This window comes from Homo sapiens, chromosome 9 (genome assembly GCF_000001405.40).
Source record: "Homo sapiens chromosome 9, GRCh38.p14 Primary Assembly".
Taxonomy (NCBI): Eukaryota; Metazoa; Chordata; class Mammalia; order Primates; family Hominidae; genus Homo; species Homo sapiens.
Window position 1 is genome coordinate 69,708,667 of NC_000009.12, and position 24,007 is coordinate 69,732,673.

Genomic DNA, 24,007 nt, shown 5'->3' on the forward strand with positions numbered 1-24,007 from the left:
ATTCTCCCGCCTCAGCCTCCCAAGTAGCTGGGATTACAGGTATGTGCCACCATGCCTGGCTAATGTTTGTATTTTTAGTAGAGATGGGGTTTCGCCATGTTGGCCAGGCTGGTCTTGAACTCCTAACCTCAGGTGATCCGTCTGCCTGGGCCTCTCACAGTGCTGGGATTACAGGTGTGGGCCACTGCACCTAGTCAGTACTGCAATTTTAAACAATTGTACTTTGCCATCATGCAAAATAAATTTGATATCCTGTTTCCTACCCAAAATATACATAATAGTAGTGCATTATATAAAATGTAATCCTAAATAGTCAAGGGATAAAGTAAGATAGGTCTTTCCCATAACACACTTCTGAAATATTTAAAATTTGAGTTAAAAAAAGTATCCACTTTATCAAACACTTTTTGGAGTCTATCTATGTATTATATTGTGTAAGTAAGACCACTATATCTGGCTTATAACATACAGAAGTGAGACTCAGGATTGAGAAAACATAGGATGTAACACTAAAATAACCGAGTAATTATATGTGCTCTACAGCTTCATTTGAAATGGATGGGAAAAAGCGTATCTAGTCATAATAACTTTTATAAGGCAATTAGTCACTGTTAATACAATTTAAAAACAACTGTGGCGATATCTCTAATTTGTTTTTGACATTTCTTTTATGTTCTAGACATAGTGGCATTTTTATTCTTTCTACAAATGTAGGTCATAAAATTATTGGTTTCATTTAGACAACAGTTCACACCTCCACCCCCCTACCACCATCAAAGCAAATAAAATGGAAAGCTTGGTAGACTAGACTCAAGTTTAAAGCACCAAAAGTAAAAACAAAATCACACTTAACACTCATTTTAGGAGATAAAAGGTTTACTTAGAAATTGCAAACATTTAGCAAAGGTAAGACAAATACTATTTTCCATATTCTACAGAAATACAATACTTTATAGCTGGCTTGGTACATGGTCACATAAGAACAAATCTAATGGAAAAAGAATATTTCATTCTACTTTTCTGCCACTTATCACAGTGTAATAAGTGCCAGTAAGTCCTGGAAGACAGTTGCAGAGGAAGATTAGAATCCCAGGGCTGTTTGTTAATATACATGATTATATTGTAAGAATAATATAAAAACAAAATAGGTAAGATATACAATTAACATGCAATTTAAGCTATATTATTTTGAAGAAACAGGACAGAATTTAGTGAACGCAACTTAAAAATTTGTTAATGTAGTATAATCAGCATATCATGGTATTTTACATGGTATGGAATTATTCCTCCTTAATAATGCTTGGCAAATTGGAACAGGCTGATCCTACTTCTAGAACATATTAAAATGAAGATGAAGGAAAACAAGTGGATAATTCTATTAGATGCTTTTCTAAATATTCTGAATTTTTAAAGTACCATAATTACAGGCCTACCTCACCATCTCCAAAGTTAAAGTCATATTTTATACTCTATGAATCTGTACTGTCCAGTATAGTAGCCCTTAGCCATATGTGACTACTGAGCACTTAAAATGTGGCCAGTCAGAATTGAGATGTGCTGTGAGTGCAAAATACACTCAAATCTAAGACTTAGTATGGAAGAAAAAGAAGATAAGGTGTTTCATTAATAATCTTTTATATTGATTACATGTTGAAATGATATTTTTAATATACTGGGTTACATAAACTGTTATTAAAATTAATTTTGCTTGTTTCTTTTTTAATATGGCTACTAGAAAATTAAAAATTATGTTGTGGTTCACATTATATTTCTGTTGAACAATGTGGACATAGATAATCTACAGTCATTACATTAGCCTTAGAATTTAGCATCATACTTTTAAGCACTCTGGGGTACTAACTTGAACTCCCAGAAACCCATAAGCACACTCTGCATATAAATTATTGCAAAATTCATTCTTATCTCTCTGAAAGATATGCATTTTAAGGGTAAAAAGAATTCACAAAATATTGAATCCTTAACAAATGTCAATTAGTATATGGAGAGAGCTAAAGGACTTCAATGTAGACTGTTACATTGGGGAAAAACAGATCAAGAAACATAGCAGTACAACAGAGGGAAGACCATTAGTCTCTTCAGTAAAATAGTTAGCCAAACTTATCTTTAATGGCCAATGCCTGACCCTGCACCATAGATTATATATGTAACTTTTCCATTTAAACATAAACTATAAGAAAATCTTAAAACAATATTGACGGCAGCTTACTTATATCTTCAAGCAATGTAAAATTAACAGGCATGGTTAATTTTAATGGCAGAATATAGTAGCTGAGAACTTCTTTTAAATGAAAGCTCCTCCATGTTAAATTATGCAATTGACTAGTGTCCACAAAATTCGAGTCAAAAAAAAATTAGACGCTATTAAAATCATAACTGGCCTTTTTTTTTCTCCCTCTCCTTTTTTAATCTTTTGTAGTGTATAAATATTTGGCATACTTATAATACCTCATCTTTTATTTTTTCCAACTCAAAAACAGTAAGTTAATCTAAGAATGCATTCCATTATTTTCCTAAAAACAACATATGCCAAAGTACAATACTGACAGTGGTCACCTCAGTCAGCAGCCAGCATCGAAGTCATGCATCAAGAACCTCGCCAGGAGGCAATGCCTAATTACATTTGTACTATACACTCTGTTCCTCACAGTTCAGGTAGGAATGTTTATTTGTGTTTTATAAAACTGTTTAATCTTTTTACATTAGGTAAACTCTGTCAAAAATGCTTTGAAAACCACAAATTAACAGATGCTGAGACTACTGTATCATTCACAAAAAGTTCTTCCTCATGCCAAAGATGTTCTGAGAAAACAAGCAGAAGTTTATTGTAACTTCACATTTTACCATTACCACTCTTAAGACGCTAGAAACAAGTAAGATTTAAGGAAAAATAAAAAGAACCTAAACCCGATAGTACTGGATATACCAATACAGAGACTGATTGCAGAAGACTACAGCAGTTCTCTCTAGAGTTCAGCCAGCTGCTTATTAAGACATTTAATTACATTTATTAATATGCCTTGCACAAGAAAATACTACTTAATCTTTCACATCTCCTATCTTTCAACTATGTTCTGTATAAATAATACTTCTATTACGTTACTAACTCCAGCTTAAATAAGCCTCATAAATCATGTCAAATGATATAATTTCAAAATTCCACACATATATTACTCTACAAATATACTCCTTGGTGAAAAGATGTCAACAGTCTCCTTTCTGAAAGCTGTTAGTTTGATGTTAGATCAATCACTGACTAAGCATTTATTGAGCATCTACTATAACTGTACCCAGTCTTTAACTAATAAGAAAAAAATACCTGCTCCAAATGCAAGATGATATTTGTAAGGGAGGATAATTTATCAACTTTTTCTAATAGAATGCTCCTTGAATCAATATCTGCCATATGAAATTATATGACAAGTAAACCTCAAATTTATTACCTATCACCTTATAATGATAAATAAGCAATCTAAAGTATGCTGCATAGTACCTTGAGGAAAGTGACTGCTATACTTAAAATTAAGGCTGATTCCTAAAAGGTATGGAAGAAAAGCCAGAATGTTATTGTTTGTAAACCACTAAAGACTTAATATGAACAGTTTACATAACTATCTGGTTAATTTGGGCAAATGAGCACTTGTGTTTGGTTTCTAACTTTGCTGGAAGGTGTTGGTCTAATAAAGAAAACTGCTTTAAGTAGGAGCACTTTTAGCATACACAAAAATAAAAATCCTTTGTAAATTTCACTTGCAATGTTGTGCAACTGTATATCTTTGCCTTATGCATTTGAAACTGATTATGTATTTTATGCAAAATGGTATATTTTTCCCAAAGCTAAGAATATGGACAATGATGATATGATAGCTAAGCTAGTTTTATCTTTCTAGCTTTTATCAACTCTTGACTTGTTGAATTCCTACAATGTGCAAGGCAGTATGCAATGTGTTGAACATATATGAGGTCTACACATAAAACAAAGGGAAACTGAAGTCTTTGGAAGCAAAATAGTTGTCAATTTGAAAACCAACGGTAATCATTTTCCTCAACAGTATTTCTAAAAGTTGAGAATGATGTCAACTAAAACAAAATACAATCATCCCCACCTCTACCAAAGATGGAACTATAACACAGAAATCATTTCCACAGAAGACACGAGAATGTTCATACTAGAGCCATAGGGACCAAAGCAGCAAGATAAACAATGAGGCAGTCACAGAATATCTACTAGCTACTGTACTGGTAATAGTTTATAAAAAATACGATCTATACTAAAATTTAAGAGCTAATAATATATTTAGCATATTTTTGCCTTTTCTTTTTGCCACTGAATATAAAATTTGTCCTGAATTTACTAAATCTTCTACACCCTGAGGAATAACAACAGACTAATAAAAGTAACGTCAGGGTTAGCTTTCTGGACAATAGAATCATCCAGAAAGCACAAATTATATATAGCTAATATTCTTGGAAGCACAAGGTTTCATCAGCAGACTAAACTACTGCCCTGTATTGTTCTTAGCAAAGAGTTTGGTTTTACAGTGTTAACATGGCCTGGTGAGAGTAGAGAAGTCAAAGTTGGGAGCCTGAGGTTTCCTCTCCCACCTGAGATCCACAACTGATTCATTGGTTTTCTGTCTTCACCATGAACATGGCATATTGCTGCCCTTTAGGAATATATTATTCAACAGTTCTCTGTAAAAGCACTTTGGAATCTTTAGCTATATATTTCTATGAAATTATATTTGCTATCTTGAAATATGGAATTCCTATCCCTCCCTTCTCCATATACAAACAGATAAAATGATACATTTAAAATTTCATCTACGCATTTACTTCTTTTCCTCCAATACCTGAGAGAAAGCAAGTACTGTTTTCCCCCTTTCAACTATATTACATTATGCCTGAATTTGAGAGGGAAGGAAGGTCCTAAAGTAAGGCAAAGGATTCATTTAGGACAACGTTCTGGCCTTTATTTTAGGGCAGAGTGCCACTGTTTCCCTTTGGACGCAGGTTTCAGGCTAATCTATTTGTGCACACACCATCCTCTAAATGGGATGCCTCCAACCCCCAAAACGTTAGTTGCCAGAAAGAAAGAACTAAATCTTGGTAGGGTGCTTAAAATGATAACTAATGGAATAATCAAAGCATCCTGCCTGCTTATATCAGTCTCTCACTGAAGGATAAAATACCCTACGGGGCCATGCCTAGCGATGGGAATAAATAAAACAATGGGCCACAATCAACTGTTTGATAAAACTTCCATCCTGTTTTCTTAAACATTAAATATAATCTTGCTCCCAAAAAAGTAAGAAAGGCACTCGAATTAACACAGTCTCTACAGTTATTTTTTAAAAGACACTATGTGACAATAAGGAATTCTTAGGGTTGATTTTTCTTCATTAACTTCTCAGTGCCTCCACACATCTCTCCATTAAATGGGAGCTTATTACAGAGCATACCTAGGTATGGGGAGGCAGCAACACATAAAGTGCTAGGGTTTGCACAGTTCTATTTGAGAAATTTATTCAAGACAAAAGGTTCAGTTGTTATCAGGTTCAAATTTTCTAGCATACTTTAAATATCTGTAAGTTTTAAAATATAATTTTCCAGTAGCAAAATAATAGTTAGCTTAAAACAGCTTTTTAGAAAAAAAAAATCATGTTACTTCCCTTTACAACTAAATCTTTAGCATCTTCTATAACTCAGGGGAACTAAGGTAGGGATTATTAGATTGTTGTACAGTAGGTGGTATCTGCCATCTTGTGCTATGTAAGAGAAAATTATTAAACTGACAATTTGTTTGCTTCAATACTAAAAATTCCTTTTACACACACATACATGTGTGTGTGGCCCAACAAGAATAAACTGGCATGACCTGAACATACCTAAGTGGCATACGATCTACTATGTATTTGCTTTCCTGCAAACTACTGCATAAAAATCCAAAAACTTTTGTTTCCGTATCTTGTATCACATAAGCCCTTATTTAAAAATTTAAGTACTTTTAGAGATAACCTGTATATATTTAACCCTACTAATAATTAAGCCTTTAAGTGAGAACTGTACCATAGGAATAAGAAATATGACTGAAAGTCTGGGCCCAGAGTTTCTTAAGAGGTAATAAAATGCTAAAATCTACAGAAGACAAAGGGGACATTAATACATATCAAATCCCTAAGCTTAAAAAATGACTCATACAGATTTAAGAAATATCTGAAAGAGTCACAGTTCAAGTTGCGGGGAAAAAAGGAGAAGCATAAAATGATATGTGCACAGGTACAGATCAGTAAGTCACTGAAATCAAAGAATTTCTTCAGATGATTAAAAGCAGTTTCGGCTCTGTATGCAGGATCTGTCCTCTAGTATCACAAATGAACAGAAAGTGGTGTTCTTAATGCAAGTGGGTTCTTTAGCTCTACAAATTTTTAATATATATTATAATACAGTTAATTGACAATTACAGAGCTGCATTTCTTGGCTGGGATTTAACAAGTTTAAACAAGGTAATGAAATGAAGAAAAAAAAAGTCTAAATCAACTTACTCTATATGCAATAGCTCTTCCCAAGTATTACGAAACTAGAAAGCATCATTCATTCCCAATCCATTGCACTAATCCATCAATTTCTCAATCATCACTCATTCTTAACACTCACAAACAATCTTTCTCTTCCTGTTAGTCATTCATTAATTTAATAAATATTTAATGAGTCCTCACAATGTGCAGGGCACAAGTAGAATCTGGAAAACACCGTACTGCCAAAATAGGTACACTAAAGTACACTAAGGTACACTAAAGGCGGGGTGAAGGTGGTGTTGGAGACAGTTACAGAGCTTAATGCTTTTTGCTTGTCAGTAGTATTCTTAATCCACAGTAGGATGACCCACTGTTCTTCCAGTGAAAGTTTAATGAAATATGTGTCAATAAGCCATCTTTTCCTTTTAACAATTAGATTGTTATAGAAAAATAAGTGAAGACTAAAAGTCCCAGAAAACAGACACATCCTTTCTACTACATAAGCTCAGTCAAAGACATTATCATGCTACAGCTAGCGGGTTTAAATATTAACCACTTAGGAAAAAAACCAACCATATAGGGCAATATTAGGATTTTCTGTGAATGAACAATTAAAAAATGCAAACTCTAGAAATAAAGCAGCACACAAAAGTTACATACTAACAGTATCCTTTGGGTATTTGCATTTTTGCTCTCTACTTTAAACTTTTAGGAAGGAAACAAGACATATTAAAGGACTGTGCGGCTTCAGAAAAGAGTGGGTTAAGAGCCTTAGAAGATATGAAAATAGTTTACACACCAAAGATAGGCAAGATAATCAGTGGAAGGTACACAAAGGCATGGAGCACTATAAAACTTAGCTAGTGTTTTATAGGGTATTGTCTACACTCATTTCCTGACATTTTTTCACATCAAAGCATAAGCCCTATTACTCAAAATGTGAAAAATGATTTTTAGGAAAAAAGGTAATACTGAGTTAGGCCAGAATCTGGCAACATATTTTAGTGGAATGGGCTGAACCACCCATGTCTTCTCTGTGTAGTTTGCCCCCAAACACTCACAGGAGCTAAAAATCATAAACTTATGATTTTATCCATAGAGGTCTAGGTGGACCTTGAGGTATTTAATTCAAAATATGCTTTGTACACAAAGGGCCATGGAATTATGTTCATAATGGTATTTTTTCATCTAAATAATATAAAAGCTATAAAAAGGTAATTTTTTACTTGAGAGAAGAACAAATTCTGTCTACTGGGGCCAGGCTAGACAACTTTTCTGGCGTTCTTAAGTCTCAACTCACTTCAACAGTCTGCCACTCAACAAAACCATGATGCCAAAGAAAAGGACATATTTCTTCTTCTTTAAGGCAGTCTACCTAACTCAAGTCCAGGCTTTCCGTAACAGTGAGAGAGAGGTTTACTTTCCCTACATCTTTATCCCCACTTTACAAATTACCTAGCAAGTAAAAAGAACAACAGGCAAAGCATTGTTGTCACACTTATTTCTGCCACTATTACTCACATTCTGCACAGATAGGACAACTGACAGCTTCCATCATTAGGGAAACTTTTAGAAGGGCCACTCTTCATATTTCTGGTATATGAATGTATTTTAGATGAGGTATGAAATTCATTGCAAATAGGGGGTAGAAATCTTGAAGACACACCCCTGAAGTAAGAAAGGAAAGGTATACAAAAATGACACACAAAAGTGACAAAAAATACGTAATGGATTGGCAAAACAAAGTATATGAAAAGAAGAAACAGACCACTTACAAAAGGGCAAATATAAGAAAGCAGACATTACATGGCCCATTCCCCACCCTCATCCCACCTACCTGAAAAACTCAGCCCTTGTTATTGGAAACATAAGATACGGCTATAATGTGGATACTTTGGTACCTCATCCCTGATTAAGTTCAGTATCAAAGTGTTTTGTTTTGCACATACTATTCCTTCCCTTGGCATTTGCCAGTAAACTTTAACAGTCACTTCATGATAATTTTATAGTTTCCATAGTGTATCCTCAATAATTTAGATTTTTAAAAAGGAATATTTTTATGGATCTATTTCTTTATATATTTCTCCCATTTGTCATAAGTGAATTTGAAATTAAAAAGTAGTAATAGCTAAAAATGGCATTCCAGGTTTTCAGGAAAAAAAAATCAATTTTATAAGGACTGATGTGTTTTGGCATATACCAAATTTGAGGTAAAAATAATCTATCAAAACTAGCAATAAAAATAATTTTCCTTTACTGCAATTACATAAACTCTTAAGTTAGTTTTTTCTTAAATAACCATTTAAAAAATGGATTACATTGGAAGCATTTTTTTCATATAAATTCCAATACTTCTGACTTTGGTAATTGGGTAGAACATGCTAGAGAAAGAGAACTAGTTTACATTTTTAAACATTCGCCCATCTAGCCATTTGATTCTCAAAACAATTACATCAAGTTATTCGGCATTCATACCAACATTCTTCAGTTGAACTGCAACATAAATGTTTATTTTCAATTTGTTTTAGAGACAGGGTCTCAACTCTATTGCCCAGGCTGAGTACAGTGGTGCAATCATGGCTCACTACAGCCACAAACACCTGGGGCTCAAGCAATCCTTCTGCCTCAGCTTCCTGCATAGCTAGGAACACAGTTGCATAGCACCATGCCTAGCTATTTTGTTTTACTTTTTGTAGAAATCGGGTCTTGCTATGTGGCCCAGGTTGGTCTCAAAGTCCTGGGCTCAGGCAATCCTCCTGCCTAGGCCTTAAATTTTTAATTTTTAAAAGAATTTGCCTATGCAGCAATTGGACTGAGGGGGGTAGAGGTGTGTGTGTGTGAACCAATCAGGAAAACCAAATGAGAAGCCCCACATATAGAAATACAAAGGGTGAGAAGTTAAACAGAAAATTTAAGACTCGCTGTTCAGCAGGAAGGAACTATACGATTATTTTATCCCCACAGGAATGCCAGTTATTAACAAAATAAATAAAATGAAAGATTTACTATGGACTTTCAACCTAAAGACGAAGAACATATGGTTAGCCAATAATAGTAAACAGTTCATGCAACTATGTAAATAATAAAAGAAAGCAATATTGCACTAAAAGGGGAACCTTGTAGGACTAATTCACCTCTTTCATTGACTCAAAGTAACCAGCCATTTCCTGTATGCACTGGCAAACCTGGCTTGCTCCACGTTCCGACAGGTGGACAATACTTGATCAATGAACCTGTGCTCCATTTCTAGGCCTAGGGAGTCTGGAACTGGCGTCCGCTTCAGGCGTTTGGTTTCCTGGGAATAGCCTTGCTTGCTAGAGTCATTCAGTCCATCTACTTCCATTGCTTGAGACAGCTGGGAGCCTGCTGGGATAAGGTGCAAGTCACTCAAAGTCCCCCCAGGGCTGTCTGCAGGTGACAACTGGGTCATGCTGTGAGGAAACCTACCATTTAAGTGATGCTGAAGGTAGAAAATATGCCGCCTGCGATAGAGAGGGGAAGGAAGAGAATAAAGAAAATCACATTACAAAGTCAAGCTTTTCCAGAAAAAAAAGTTTGCAATTTCAAAACATACAGTATTCAATTCACTGCCCATTTCATAACCAAGTTATACAGAGGAAGGAGGAAAAACAGTAGAGATGATGTTCCAGGATATTTGGACAAAGAAAGCCTTATAACTCCAGCTTACAGGTTTGTTTGTGAGAAAGAATACAGTCCTAAGGTTTTTCATAAGCATTTACTGAGATGACAATGACTTGGAGATGGTACTCTATGGTAACCGTAATATAAAACTAGAAATATGTGACAGTCTTATTTCTGCTATAAGTTATAAATATAAAACAAAACCAAGACAAATCTCATTGATATCCTAGAAGACAAGTGATTCAGAAATAAGGGGAATGAACAGTTCCTTTAGAGGCTTAATCTGTGGCCTCTATCAAGTACTTTAATAAAAATAACATATCTGTTGTAGTGGGTCTTATTCCCTAAAAGTCAACTGAACTTTACCCTAAATCCATCACCAACTACAGTTTTAAACATCCACATGCATTGGGGATGTGCTGGGCTCTGAGCAAAACATGTAAAAGATACAGTTCCTGTTCTCCCTCCGAGGAGAGCAATTCTCCTGCCCTTACAACCACCTACAATTGTTTGTTAAAAATGAAGATTCCCGCGTCTAATCTCCAAAAATTTCAATTCAGTGGGGGCACATCCATGTACAATGAACTGTATAACTTCTAGGTTGTTACATCTCATCATTCACATTAGCAACTCTAAGCCCTTAAGAGAATTCTATTCATTTTCCTTGCATATTCTGAAGCAGACAGGGAGCACATAATGTTCCACTTTTACAGGGGGTAAAACTTAAAGGCTAGATAAGCTGCCTAATGACAATGAGTCAGCAGTAGAAAACCGGCCTATGTAATACAGGCATACCTAGTTTATATTATGCTTTGCTCTAATGTGCTTTGCAGATACTGTATTTTTTATAAACTGAAGGTTTGGCAATCTTGTGTCAAGCAAGTCTATCAGCACAATTTTTCCAACAAAATGTGGTCACTTTTTGTCTGTGTCACATTTTGGTAACATTACTAATATTTCAAACTTTTTCAAGATTATTATATCTGTTATGTGATCTGTGATCAGCGATCTTTGATGTTACTACTATAACTATTTTGGGGTGTCACAAACACACCCATATAAGATGATAAACTGAACCAATAAATGTTGTGTGTGTTCTGATTGCTCCACCAACCAGCTCTTCCCCCATCTCTCTCCCTCACCCCAGGCCTCCCTGTTCCCTGAGATACAACAATATTGAAATTAGGCCAAGCAATAATCCTACAATGACCTCTAAGTGTTCAAGTGAAAGGAAGAGTCACAGGTCTCTCACTTTAAATCAAAAGCTAGAAATGATTAAGCTAAGTGAGGAAGGCATGTCCAAAGGTGAGACAGGCTGAAAGCTAGGCCTCTTGTGCCAGTTAGCCAAGTTGTCAATGCAAAGGAAAGTTTTTGAAGGAAATTAAAAGTGGTAACCCAGTGAACACACAAATGATAAGCGAAACACAGTCTTACTGCTGATATGGAGAACGTTTTAGTGCTCTGGATAGAAAAGCAGATCAGCCACAACATTCCCTTAAGCCAAAACCTAATCCAGACTAAGGCTCTAATGCTCTTTAATTCTAAGACTGAGAGAGGTGAGGAAGTTGGAGAAAAAGAGTTTGGAGTTAGCAGAGATTGGATCATGAGGTTTAAGGAAAGAAGCCATCTCTATAACAAAACTACAAAGTGAAGTAGCAAATGCTGATGTAGAAGCTGCAGCAAGGTATCCAGAAGACCTAGCTAAGATCACTGATGAAGGCAGCTATACTGACAAGAGATTTGCAATGTAGATGAAATACCCTTCTATTGAAAGATGCCATCTAGGACTTTCATAGCTAGAGAGAAATCCATGCCTAGCTTCAAAGTTTCAAAGGACAGTCTGACTTTTGGTAGGGGCTAATATAGCTGGTGACTTTAAGTTGAAGCCAAGGCTCATTTACCATTCCAATAATCTTAGGGCCCTTAAGAATTATGCTAAGTCTACTCTGCCTGTATGTTGACAGCACATCCGTTTAAAGAATGGTTAACTGAATATTTTGATCCCACTGTTGAGACCTGCTGCTCAGAAAAAAAGGATTCCTTCCAAAATATTACTGCGCATTGACTATGCACCTAGTCATGTGAGAGCTCTGATTGAGATGTACAAAAAGATTCATGTTGCTTTCATGACTGCTAACACAGCATTCATTCTCTAGTCCATGGATCAAGCAGAAACTTCAACTTTCAAGTCTTGTTAAGAAATACATTTCATAAGGTTATAGCTGCCACAGATAGTGATTCCTCTAATGGATCTGGGCAAAGTAAATTGAAAACCTTCTGAAAAGGGTTCACCATTTTAGATGCCATTAAGAACGTTTGTGATTCATGGGAGGAAGTCAAAATATCAACATGAACAAAACTTTGAGAGAAGGTGATTCCAACCCTCATGGATGACTTTGAGGAGTTCAAGACTTCAGTGTAGTAAGTCACGGCAAATGTGGTGGAAATTGCAAGACAACTAGAATTGGAAGTGGGGCGTGAAGATGTGACTGAATTGCTTACAATCTCATGATAAAACTTGGATGCATGAGGAGTTGCTTTTTATGGATGAACCAAAAAACAAAAAAAAGTGGTTTCCTGAGATAGAATCTACTTCTGGTGAAGATGCTGTGAACATTGTTGAAATGACAACAAAGGATTTAGAGTATGACACAAACTTAGTTGATAAAGCAGCAGCAAGGTTTAAAATGACTCCAATTTCGAAATAAGTTCTACTGTGGGCAAAATGCTGTCAAACAGCATCACACACTACAGAGAAATCTTTCATGAAAGGAAGAGTCAAACTTCATTGCAATCTTATTTTAGGAAATTGCCACAGCCACCCCAACCTTCAGCAACCACCACTCTGATCAATCAGCAGCCACCAACACTGAGGCAAGACCCTTCACCAGCAAAAGATTGCAACTTGCTGAAGGGTCGGATGATCGTTAGCATTTTTTAGCAACCTAGTATTTTAATTAAGATATGCACATTTTTTTTTTAGACATAATGCTGTTGCACACTTCTTAGACTATAGTGTAATGTAAAAGTAACTTTTATATGTACTGGGAAACAAAAAAAAATTGTGTGGCTCACTTTATTGCTATATTCACTTTATTGCAGTGGTCTGGAACTGAACCTGTGATATCTCTGAGGTATGCCAGTAGCTTAAAAGGTCTATCTTCCCTCTTGAAAACATGAAATAAGTGTCTTGGTTTTAAGAGAAAAAGAATGTTCTCTACTAATGAAGGTGCCAAAGAGGGGAGATAATCTTTTATGTTCTGAATATATTTAGTAAGGAAAAGCAGCTGACCAGGTCTCCTCAAATAACCTGCAAGACAGACTAGACTGGAGAAAGAAAGAAAATCTCAATAACTTTAGAAATAGGCAATTTTAAACAATGCCTACCTCCTTCCTGCCTAGCACAGGCAAGTCTTTCATTTACAAATACAATGCTATGGCCTAAAGTAGAATCTGTATTTATGAAGATGAAGATGCCTCCAAATAAAGGAAGATCCAAAAGAAATGAAGCTGGGAAGGGGTCACATATGTGACTTCAGTCCAACATACTGTCAAATGTACTCACAACTGAAGTTGATAGGTTGCTAACCCTTTTTCACTCTTTGCTACCAGACTTTCCCCTCTCTCAAAGAGAAATTCTCTTACACTTTAAACAAAAAGTGTCAAGAGATTATACTTCAGGTAAGTTAATTTGCAGACCATCAGGGTTGGAAAAATGATAAAGCATACCTTATTCTTGGGGTCTAATCAAATCTCAATCCTGACTGTGCATCAATGTGTTGAGCTTTTTCTAGGGGGGAAAAAAAAAAAAGGGCCAGGCATGGTGGCTCACACCTGTAATCCCAGCACTTTGGGAGGCCAAGGCAGGCAGATCACCTGAGGTCAGGAGTTCGAGACCAGCCTGGCCAACATGGTGAAATTCCGTCTCTACTAAAAACACAAAAATTAGCCCGGTGTGGTGGTGGGTGCCTATAATCCCACCTACTTGGAAGGCTGAGGCAGGAGAATTGCTTGAACCTTGGAGGCCGAGATTGCAGTGAGCCGAGATCGCGCTATTGCACTCCAGCCTGGGCAAGAAGAGCAAAACTCTATCTCAAAAAAAAAAAAAAAAAAAGAGAGATGGCAGCAATCCATCCTAGATATGCTAAATATTAGTATCTCCAAGGAAGGAGTCAAAAAAACTTCTGATTCTGTTTTATTTTGGAACTAACACAGGTTATTCTGTTGCACAGTCAAGGTTGAATATCACCATCCTAAGCTGCAGGCAGAGATCTACATGAGGAATCTCTTATTAATGATGATGATGATGATGATGACGATGATATGGTAACACAAAACCTCTTGTATTCACTCAGGCAAAGCTCCACAATCAGATGACCATGTTTACCCAAGCAGGCAGGAATCAGGTGTAACTAACACTTTCTGCAGCTCTCATGAAGACATGCAGTTTTGTGTAGGAAATAGATTTTCCCTTTTCTTACCTATGACACCAAAGGGTTTCATGTCCTGGGTAGGAATCAATAAGATCAGTGCTGAATTCAACTTCTTCTTCTAGAAGATGGGGAAGATTAATCCTTGGTTCTTCTGTTGAAACTGCTGCTTCTTCATCTTTTGGAGGAACTAGGGCTGGCTCACTTCTCAAAGGATTTTGCTCCATCACAGAACTGTCTATCACAGTTTGGCTAATCAAAGACTTAAGCAAAAACTGGCGGTAGTGAAATCCACTGTGGTCTGAAACGTGCATAGATGCCCAATGTTTAGTAGAAGATAGTTCATCAAGAAGAATCTTTTAAGAAGAAAAAAGGGAAGTAAGAAGAAGAGTTCCCAAAGGTTCTTCTTTCTCCATTATTGCCTCTGATTTCTCTTTGATTTGTTCCTTTTTTGACAAGACCATTCTTACCAATATTTTGTACACAATGTCTAGCACAGTGCTCTCACTTAGTGGAAGCTTAATACATGCGAATTTTCTCTTTCCCATATAAAAGTGATAGATTTTTTTTTAAGACTAAAGAATTTAAGGACTCATTTGTCATCCTTTCCCTAGACCTTGACTACTCACATTCTGATTGGTACACACAGAGAAGGAAAATAAAATTCTAAAATAATGATGAGCATTAGGGTATTCATTTACAAGTAATGCTGACGTAAAAGCAAAAATATAAACTCAGATTACTTTGATATAAACTTTATTTTACATTTAATAAATGTGTATAATATGTAACTTATTATCTCTACAATAGGCTCAGTGAAATTATTTGTTCTTCAATATAAATGTCATGAGGGCAGAGACCGTGTCTGTCTTGCTCACTACTTAATTATAAGGGATTAGTAGAAAAACATGATGCACTAATAATAAGATTTTTTCAAGAGCTCGTGACTTTAACTGTCTCAAACTTACTTAACAGTAATAATAAATGGGTTTTAAAATAACTGAAAATTCAGCAGCAAATTGTTTAAATCTTTGTGATACCAATATCTTGCAAACTAAAGAATTTCAAATGAAATGATTTTTTAAAAAGCAGCACCTATGCAAAAATAATTTATTTGAGAGTGTCTTGGACAGGTCGCAAACATAAATCAGTGAAAGGTATATCAAGTGCCTACCACGTTCCGTCAGAGGATTTTCAGACCAGCTAAGGAAAAAAGACATACATTTGTGAACAGTTAACAATACAGACAGCATAATGCTGAATGACACCTTTACCTGTTTGTCAAAGGTCCCAGGCAAATGCCTTCTCCTGTACCATGATCTTTTTTCCATTTCTTACACCATTTTTCTTCCGCGGGAATCTTTCCTTTTGCTGAACCCCCATAGTACTTATGTATTCCATCACATTTATTAAAGAATTTCAGTGCATCTCTTCATTCTCATTAAACTCAGTGAGTGAGGGCTTTAAGATATTTATTCATTCCTATCTGATACTTCAATCCCCCTATACCTACTGACATCAAAGTGGATACATAAATATTTTATGAAATGAATGAACAATTTAATAAATAAGGCAAATAGTAAGATTACTTCCAGCCAAGATAGTCAAGTTGTATCAGTGATATGTTTTAAACATCTCCTTTAAGTTCCAATGAGTTTATTCATAGCCACCTAAATTTATTCCAGAGGCTATAGCTGGCAAGTATCTGAGAAATGGAAAACAGTATCTTTATTTGATTTTAAAAGGTGAAGAAAAATAGCACCAGATAAACTCCTACCTGAAATAAAAATCAATCTTACATTTATTACATTTTTGAAAAATAAACCTGTAGAACATTCTGGCTATAATACAGCAGCTTTTTTATTTTGGCATGGCTTCTTAACATGGATTGAAAAGAGTACTCCACTTATTTAAAATGAACTTATATAATATGAAAACATTTAGATTATTTCTAACTGGATATTTCTATGTATAAAATTGCAGTTTATTATTTAATTTTGAGGCAAAAATAGCACACATATAAAAGATGTTCTGGCTGTGCGTGGTGGCTCATACCTGTAATCCCAGCACTTTGGGAGGCTGGGGCGGACGGATCACCTGAGGTCAGGAGTTGGAGACCAGCCTGGCCAAAATGGTGAGACCCTGTCTCTACTAAAAATACAAAAATTTGCAGGGCGTGGTGGTGCATGCCTGTAGTCCCAGCTACTTGGGAGGCTGAGGCAGGAGAATAACTCGAACCTGGGAGGTATAGGTTGCAGTGAGCCGAGATTGCTCCACTATACTCCAGCCTGGGCGACAAAACAAGACTCCATCTCAAAAAAGAAAAAAAATATATATATATATTTTCAACAAAATCAATTTCTTAAAAAAATTCTTAGGCTTTTAAAGAGAAAATCCACTATATTCTTTTCCCTAAGATATAAAGATGCATATTAGAAACTTTAACTGGAATTTCAGGGTATTCTCTTGTTAGAATAAAAAGATATAAAGATAGAGGCAATGATTTTTTTAAAAAAGACAGCAATTACTTTTAAGTGATCCAGTTAACTTTTAAGTGATCTAAAGATACTATATGAAGATATGGCTTTAATGTACAGTACTGATGGGATAAATGACCTTCGTATGATATACGTTAAATATCTTTCTTTTCCTACTTCCATATGAAAACATGAATAAGTGAATAAATAAACTACAAGAAAACTGCAAATGCAGGGCTATGAAAAAGAGGGATAACGTGCTAAAAATGAAAGACTACTAAAAATACATATGCCATAGGTCCTTTAAACTTTTAAAAATAGTATTTGGGTTTTCTTCTGATTATAAAAGTGATACAAAATGATCAATATAGAAAATTCCAATAATATGGGAAAATATAAAAAAGCAAACAAAAATCATCCATTATTTTGTTGGCCAGAGATCACTACTTGTAACATTCTGGCAGAAAACAAATCTTTCAGGTTTTTTTCTATGTATGCACATGCACAGAGTTTATTTTTAAGAAAAATCTGGGATATTCTTTTGTACCAATTTTATTCTACTTCAATTATAAATACATTCCTATGGCATTAAATATTATTCTATAATTTTTAACTCGTAAAATATTTCACCCTCAAGATTAACAGAATTTAACCATTCCTGTGTTTGTTTCTACTCTTGTATAAGTAACACTCATAAATAAATCTATGTACATATCTAATTATTTAGGAGAAATTTGTAGAAATATACTTGCTGGAACAAAGAAAAAAACTTTATAAAGTTCTTGATATATAAAGTGTCCTGCAGAAAGACTGTATAATTTATACTCCTATTGGAAGTACATGTTAATGCTTATTTCCTAAATTCATCATCAATACTTTAATCTTCACTAATAAGAATCACATTTCATTTTAATTTACATTTCCTTAATTATCATTAAGCCTAAATATCTTTTCTTGTGTGATTACTTTTCCTTTGCTTCTTCATTTATGAACTGCCTATTTTGCCTAATTCTCTACTTTTATGAATTATCTAATTTACTATTTGTGATAGTCATTATTTTTCTTACGAGTTTGTAAGAGGTCTTTACATATTAAAGATATTAAGTCTCTATTTGTCATATGTGTTATAAATATTATTTTCGATATATTACTGCAACTGATTTTTTAAATTCTTTTTTTTTTTTTAAAGATTGGGAGTCAAGTAAAATTCTTTTTTTTCTTTTCTCCCTCAGGTCTATTGAAGAAGTATAAATGACAAATTAAAATTGTGTATATACACACACACACACACACACACACACGTATACACACACATATATATATACGATGTACGACATATTGTTTTTATGTATACACTGTGAAATGATTACCACCATCAAGTGAATTAACTTATCTATCACCTCACATAAGTATTTTATTTTTTGTGGTAAGAACATTTAAGATAACGCTCTTAGAAATCTTTGGGTATACATTATTAACAGTAATTACCATGTTCTACCATTAGACCTCCAGAACTTACTCATCCTAACGGAAACTTTGTACCCTTTAACCAGCAACTCCCTGTTCCCCACCACAACCCCTACTCCTGCAATCACCATTCTACTATTTCCATGAGTTCAACTTGTTTAGAGTCCACCTACAAGTGACACCATGCAATATTTATCCTTCTGCGCTTGGCTTATTTCACTTAGCATAATGTGAGTCTCTTTTCTTCATATAGGTTTTTATTCCATTTAAAGTTCAATTTGGTATTTAAGATTAAAAAAAAAAAACCACCTAACTTTCTATTTTCTAAAAAGTCAATAAATTTTACCAGCATCACAAATTGAACAGGGAATCCTTTCTCTAATTATGTGAAATGCCATATTCATCATTAATGAAATATGTACATATTATGTATTGGAATTTGTTTCTGGACTTTATATTCTGTTCCATTACTGAGTCTATTTTTGAAATAGCATCACAATTTTAATTACTCTGTCTTATTAATAAACATGTAAGTATCTAATGGTAGAGTGTTCTTTATTGTTTTTCCCAACAATTCCTCAGCTATTCTTTAAGCTTTATTCTCTCTAATGTACTTTAGAATCATTTTTGAAGTGAAAAAATAAATCAGTGGTTTTTAATATATTCACAGAATTGTGCAACCATTGCTCTTATCTAATTTCTAATGTTTTCACCACCCCCACAAAACCCCATTCCTATTAGAAGTTACATCCCATTCCCTCCTCCCCAGCCTCTGGCACCCACTAACCTGCTTTGCCTATTCTGAACATGTTATATAAATGAAATCATACAATATGTGGCCTTGAATCTGACTGCTTTCAATCAGCATGTTTTCAAGGTTCATCCACGTTATAGCATGTATCAGTATTTCCTTCCTTTTTTATGGCCAATGTTCTATTGCATGGATACGCCACATTTTGTTTTCCATTCCTCAGGTGAGGTATTATTTTTTGGCTATTATAAATAATATGGCTATTAATGTTCTCATACAAGATTTGGTATGGAATGTGTTTTCACTTCTCTTGGGTATATACCTAGGAGCAGAATTACAGGGTCATATATGGTAATGCATGTTTTTCTCCAAGAATATGATATATATTAACTATAGTTTTATTAATATATAGTGATTCTATGTTTAATTATTTGAGGAAATGCCAAACTGCTTTCCACAGTGGCTGTACCATTTTACATTCTTACCAGCCATAAATAAGAGTTTCAGTTTCTCCACATCCTAACCAACATTTGTTATTGTCCGTATTTTGGTGTGAAGTGGTATCTCACTCCCTGTGGTTTTGCTTTGCATTTCCCTAATAGTAAAGATGGTGAATATCTTTTCATGTCCTTATTGGTGGTGTGGGTAGGTTTTTTGGAGAAATGACTATATGTGCTTTTTTTATGTGAAACTTGTAATTTGCCAGTAGTAATAAACTGCCTGACTGTGAATCTTTCCTGCCACACTACCCTCAAATATAAAAATATTTTAAAATTTACTTAAATGTTTATTTAAGCATGCAGACATCAGAGAGAACATAAAATAGAAAATTAGTGTCATAATTCCACCCTATACTACTTTTAATCAATCTTTATTCTTTAACCTTTTTCTGACTAGAAAACAAATATATGCTTTTATAAAAAATACAAGAAAAAAATCTATAGCATTGTTGTGTGTATGTATTACTATCTGTTCAGCATTTACCATGTGCCAAGCACTGTTTCAAACACTTTAAAGTATTTGCTGTCTCATTCAATGCTAATAAATACATTAAAAATTATATTAGGCTGCTGGGTGTGGTGGCTCATGCCTGTAATCCCAGCACTTTGGGAGGCAGAGGCAGGTGGATTGCTTGAGGTCAGGAGTTCAAGACCAGCCTGACCAACATGGCGAAACCCCGTCTCTACTAAAAATATAAAAATTAGCTGGGCGTGGTAGTGGGTGCCTGTAATCCCAGCTACTTGGGAGGCTGAGGCAGGAGAATCGCTTGAACCTGGGAAGCGGAGGTTGCAGTGAGCTGAGATTGTGCCACTGCACTCCAGCCTGGGCGACAGAGCAAAACCCTGTCTCAAAAATAAATAAATAAATAATAATATTAGGCCTACCCTAATATAACCTATTGTGAATATTTTCCTTTAAATCATCTTCCAAAATATACATTTTAGTCATAACAAAATATTCCAATGTGATGGATTGTAATCTAACAATTCCCTCATTATTGAAGGGCTACAGCTTTTCTAGTTTTTCACTACTATAAATGCTACTTTTATATATCAAACTTCTATATTTAATAGCCAGTGTTTATTGAGCACTTAATTAAGGCACTTTGATAGCCACTTTATATGAATCCTCCCTTTCAATTTGCATCACTCAGTGAGATGGGAATTATTGTCACCCTCCTTTTCCGGATGAGAAAACTGAAGGTTGAAGAGGCTAAGCAACTTCCTCAAGGCTACACAGCAAATTGGTGGTAAAGCCAGAATGCAAAGCAGGTCTGCATGACCACTGAGTGAAGCTTCTAATCATTCTACCATACTTCATCTTCCATTATTTCTTTATGATGAATTCCTGGAAGCAGAACTCTTAAAAATAACACCCTATTTTTAAAAGTGTGATAAGTGCTGCCATGTTGCCCTTCAGTAAGCTTATAACAATTTGAATAATGCTCATTTTCATACTCTTACTAATACTCGATGCCAGCACTTTAAAAAGTCATTTTCAATTTCCTAAGTTAAAAAATGCTGGCTCATTTCATATATATTTTTAAGCTGATTTAGACTACTGGTATTTTTGTGATTACCTCCTGTAACAGACAAAGCATAGTAGTAAATGTTCTAGGTGGGCCCAATGGCTTATAACAACAGAAAGGGGATTTTGCAAATTTAGGACTCCTCACTGACAACAAGAGCAAGAGATGTTGCAGTGGCAAGTGGTGAATGGAAGAATGGTAAGTCTTCCTCCAAGGGCGGGTCAAGGAAGGATGATGACATCTGAACCCAGGAGTGGACCCTGGCAGCTGAGCTCACCATTAATGAGTTATAACTCACCATTAATGAGTTATCTTTACCACCAGATGGTCTCAAGTAACCAAAAATTTCACTTTGGCCCCTTGTTCCTGATTTTATGGAAATGCCACTTGTAAAGGTCCACATCATGGCAGAAAAATTTCCAAAGATCTCTCAGTCAACCTGGACTCCGCCTTCCTTTTTATCCCCAATCCTCCCCATATCTCTTTCCTCTTCCCACACACTATCAAGTCATGGATCTGAGATGACCACCAAGCACTCCATATCCCTGACAACCCACCAAACAACTTGTAATCATGCCTCCCAACTCAATGTATCTTCCTTCCCCCGGCAGCTATTTCCAACGAGCGCATCCTAGATGAAGAACGATTTTTCTGTGCTCCCATTGTATTCTGATGCTTTGTAATTGTTGGTCTACTTTCTCAACTAGATTTTCAATTTGTTGAGAGCAAACACTTTGTTTTACTGCGTATACAGGACAGTCGGTGGGTATGATAGGGTTTTATACTTTTTCATCAATAAATTGCACGGAGTTGATCAAGCAAACTGGTAGCCAATTTTCTATCTCTGGAGAACAGAGAAAGGAACTAAAATCGAGTGAATCTCTCTCTATTAGATGCCCAGTAATTTACATCCATTAACTCAATTAACTCTCACAATAATCCACTGAGGCAGACAGTAGAGTCCCTATTTTATAAATGAAAACAATAAAACCTTGCTTTCCACATATAGGTAGTGGGGCCAAAATCTGAACCTAGGTTGATGTGATTCTGAGCCTTGGTTCTTTCTATTCCATTAGGCGGCCACCCCTCCTGAAACTCAAAGCCATGTAAACTGAATGGGGAAGGCTTCTCTTCCAGAATTATTGGCTTAAAATCCTCTGGAAGTAAAAAGTCTCCCATTTGCCCTGGCCAGGAAACAAAGAGAGAAATGGGAGCATGGGAAGAGGGATGTAGGAAGAAGAGGGTGGTAAGTTAAAATTACATAACACTTCCCCACTTATCTGAAAGCATCACCTGGGGCACTTCAATCTTCAACTTGACCTCTTTTAACTGTCTCAAGCCTGAGAAGCTTTTTAGATGAGCACCCTAGATTCTTATGGCACTGTGACGCCATCAGAAAAGAAAAAACTGAGACACCGTAGTATATAAGGAGCAAAAGGGACATGTGGCTCTCATTCTGATGAATAATAAGTGGTACAACTGTAGCTAAGTCTAAGCCATTAAAATTCTCTGGAAATCTCCATCTCCTCATTTCTAAACTGAAAGGATTAGGCTGTGAGAGTTTCCAAACTGGCTCTGCATTCAAATAACCCTGAGTCAGTGGAAAATACTGATCTCTAGATCCACCCTCATTCTGCTTTAGTAGGCTTGGAGTGGAACTTAGGAATCCCCAGGTAATTTATAGGCTCAGCCAATTTTAAAAACACCTGGGTGAGATTGTCTATCCCTGCCCTCCTCTCCCCCTTTTCAGAGGACGAGAGTGTGAAAAGACAGCCAGCTGACTTAGTATATTGTCACATAACCAAACACTACCAAGAAATAGCAATTCCAGTTCTATAAGGCTTAATAATCCCTTCCTGTTTCAGGATAAAGTGAGTTATGCTCAATCTTCCTCAGTTGGTTAAACCTGCCTTGCTTTACCAATGCACTAGCCTTAAGACTGCCAAAAACAGCACTAGTGGGGAATGCAAGCTTTTTATTTAATTACAGGGTTCCTCCAGAGGTAGCAGCTGTTGCGATTCTCTCAAGTTGCCAGACCATCAGTTTCTCTACTCCTTCAAAGCTCTTCTGAGAATGAACTACTACCAGAAGATTTTAAGGGCAGACAGGCAGTCTGCCCAGGAGACAGTAATATTCCTACCTTGACATCTAGCTTGGCCAAGTGCTGTAAAACCCAGATGCGATGGGACCAAGCATTATAGTTGCTTGGGTATCTCCCTGCTGCTTCACCACAGACCTCCATCTCTTCTTGTATGAGTCGCTGTGCCCTTTCTGTGGGAATTGTTCCCAAGTTTCCTTTGGTCACAAAGGAAGGCAAGGAGGTTTCCTGAATTAGCTGTTGTAGCACCCATCGCCTGTTAAGGCAGCATGTGGGAAAGAGAACACAGAAAGAACATAAACCAGAGAGAAAAATAACCAGTTTTCATTGTTCCTAATTTAATTTCCATTCAGAGACAATGCAAAATAATACCTGTTTATAAGTCTAGTATTTTGGAGATGGGGAGGGGTTGTTTTGTTGTTTATGATGATACTAATTTAGCAGTATGGATGAAGGGTGGAAAATGGATAAACAGGAAAAAAAAAAAACTTTAAAATCTGTAATACAGAGAATGTCATTACTTCTAAAATGACAATCCCAAAACTCCACTTGGCCAGGAAATGTAAAGGCAATTGGT

General features: G+C 35.7%; 1 protein-coding gene across 15 annotated transcripts in view; it reads right to left on the reverse strand.

The window, feature by feature from the left end:
* Nucleotides 1-858: 858 nt before the first annotated feature.
* The window catches only part of PTAR1 (protein prenyltransferase alpha subunit repeat containing 1), a 50,487-nt gene continuing 27,338 nt past the window's right edge, over nt 859-24,007 (reverse strand). For 5 of the 15 annotated variants that reach the window (NR_159517.1, NM_001366935.1, XM_011518639.2 and 2 more), the window contains 3 exons: nt 23,473-23,686; nt 14,660-14,964; nt 859-10,018 (listed from right to left, as the gene is read on the reverse strand). Coding sequence is in view for 12 of the 15 variants with exons in the window: in NM_001366935.1 (NP_001353864.1) it covers nt 9,676-10,018; nt 14,660-14,964; nt 23,473-23,686 (862 nt within the window). In the remaining 3 variants the exon portion in view is untranslated. The remainder of the gene's footprint in view (nt 10,019-14,659; nt 14,965-23,472; nt 23,687-24,007) is intronic. The other 10 variants (NR_159515.1, NM_001366938.1, NM_001366937.1 and 7 more) reach the window with 5 other exon arrangements.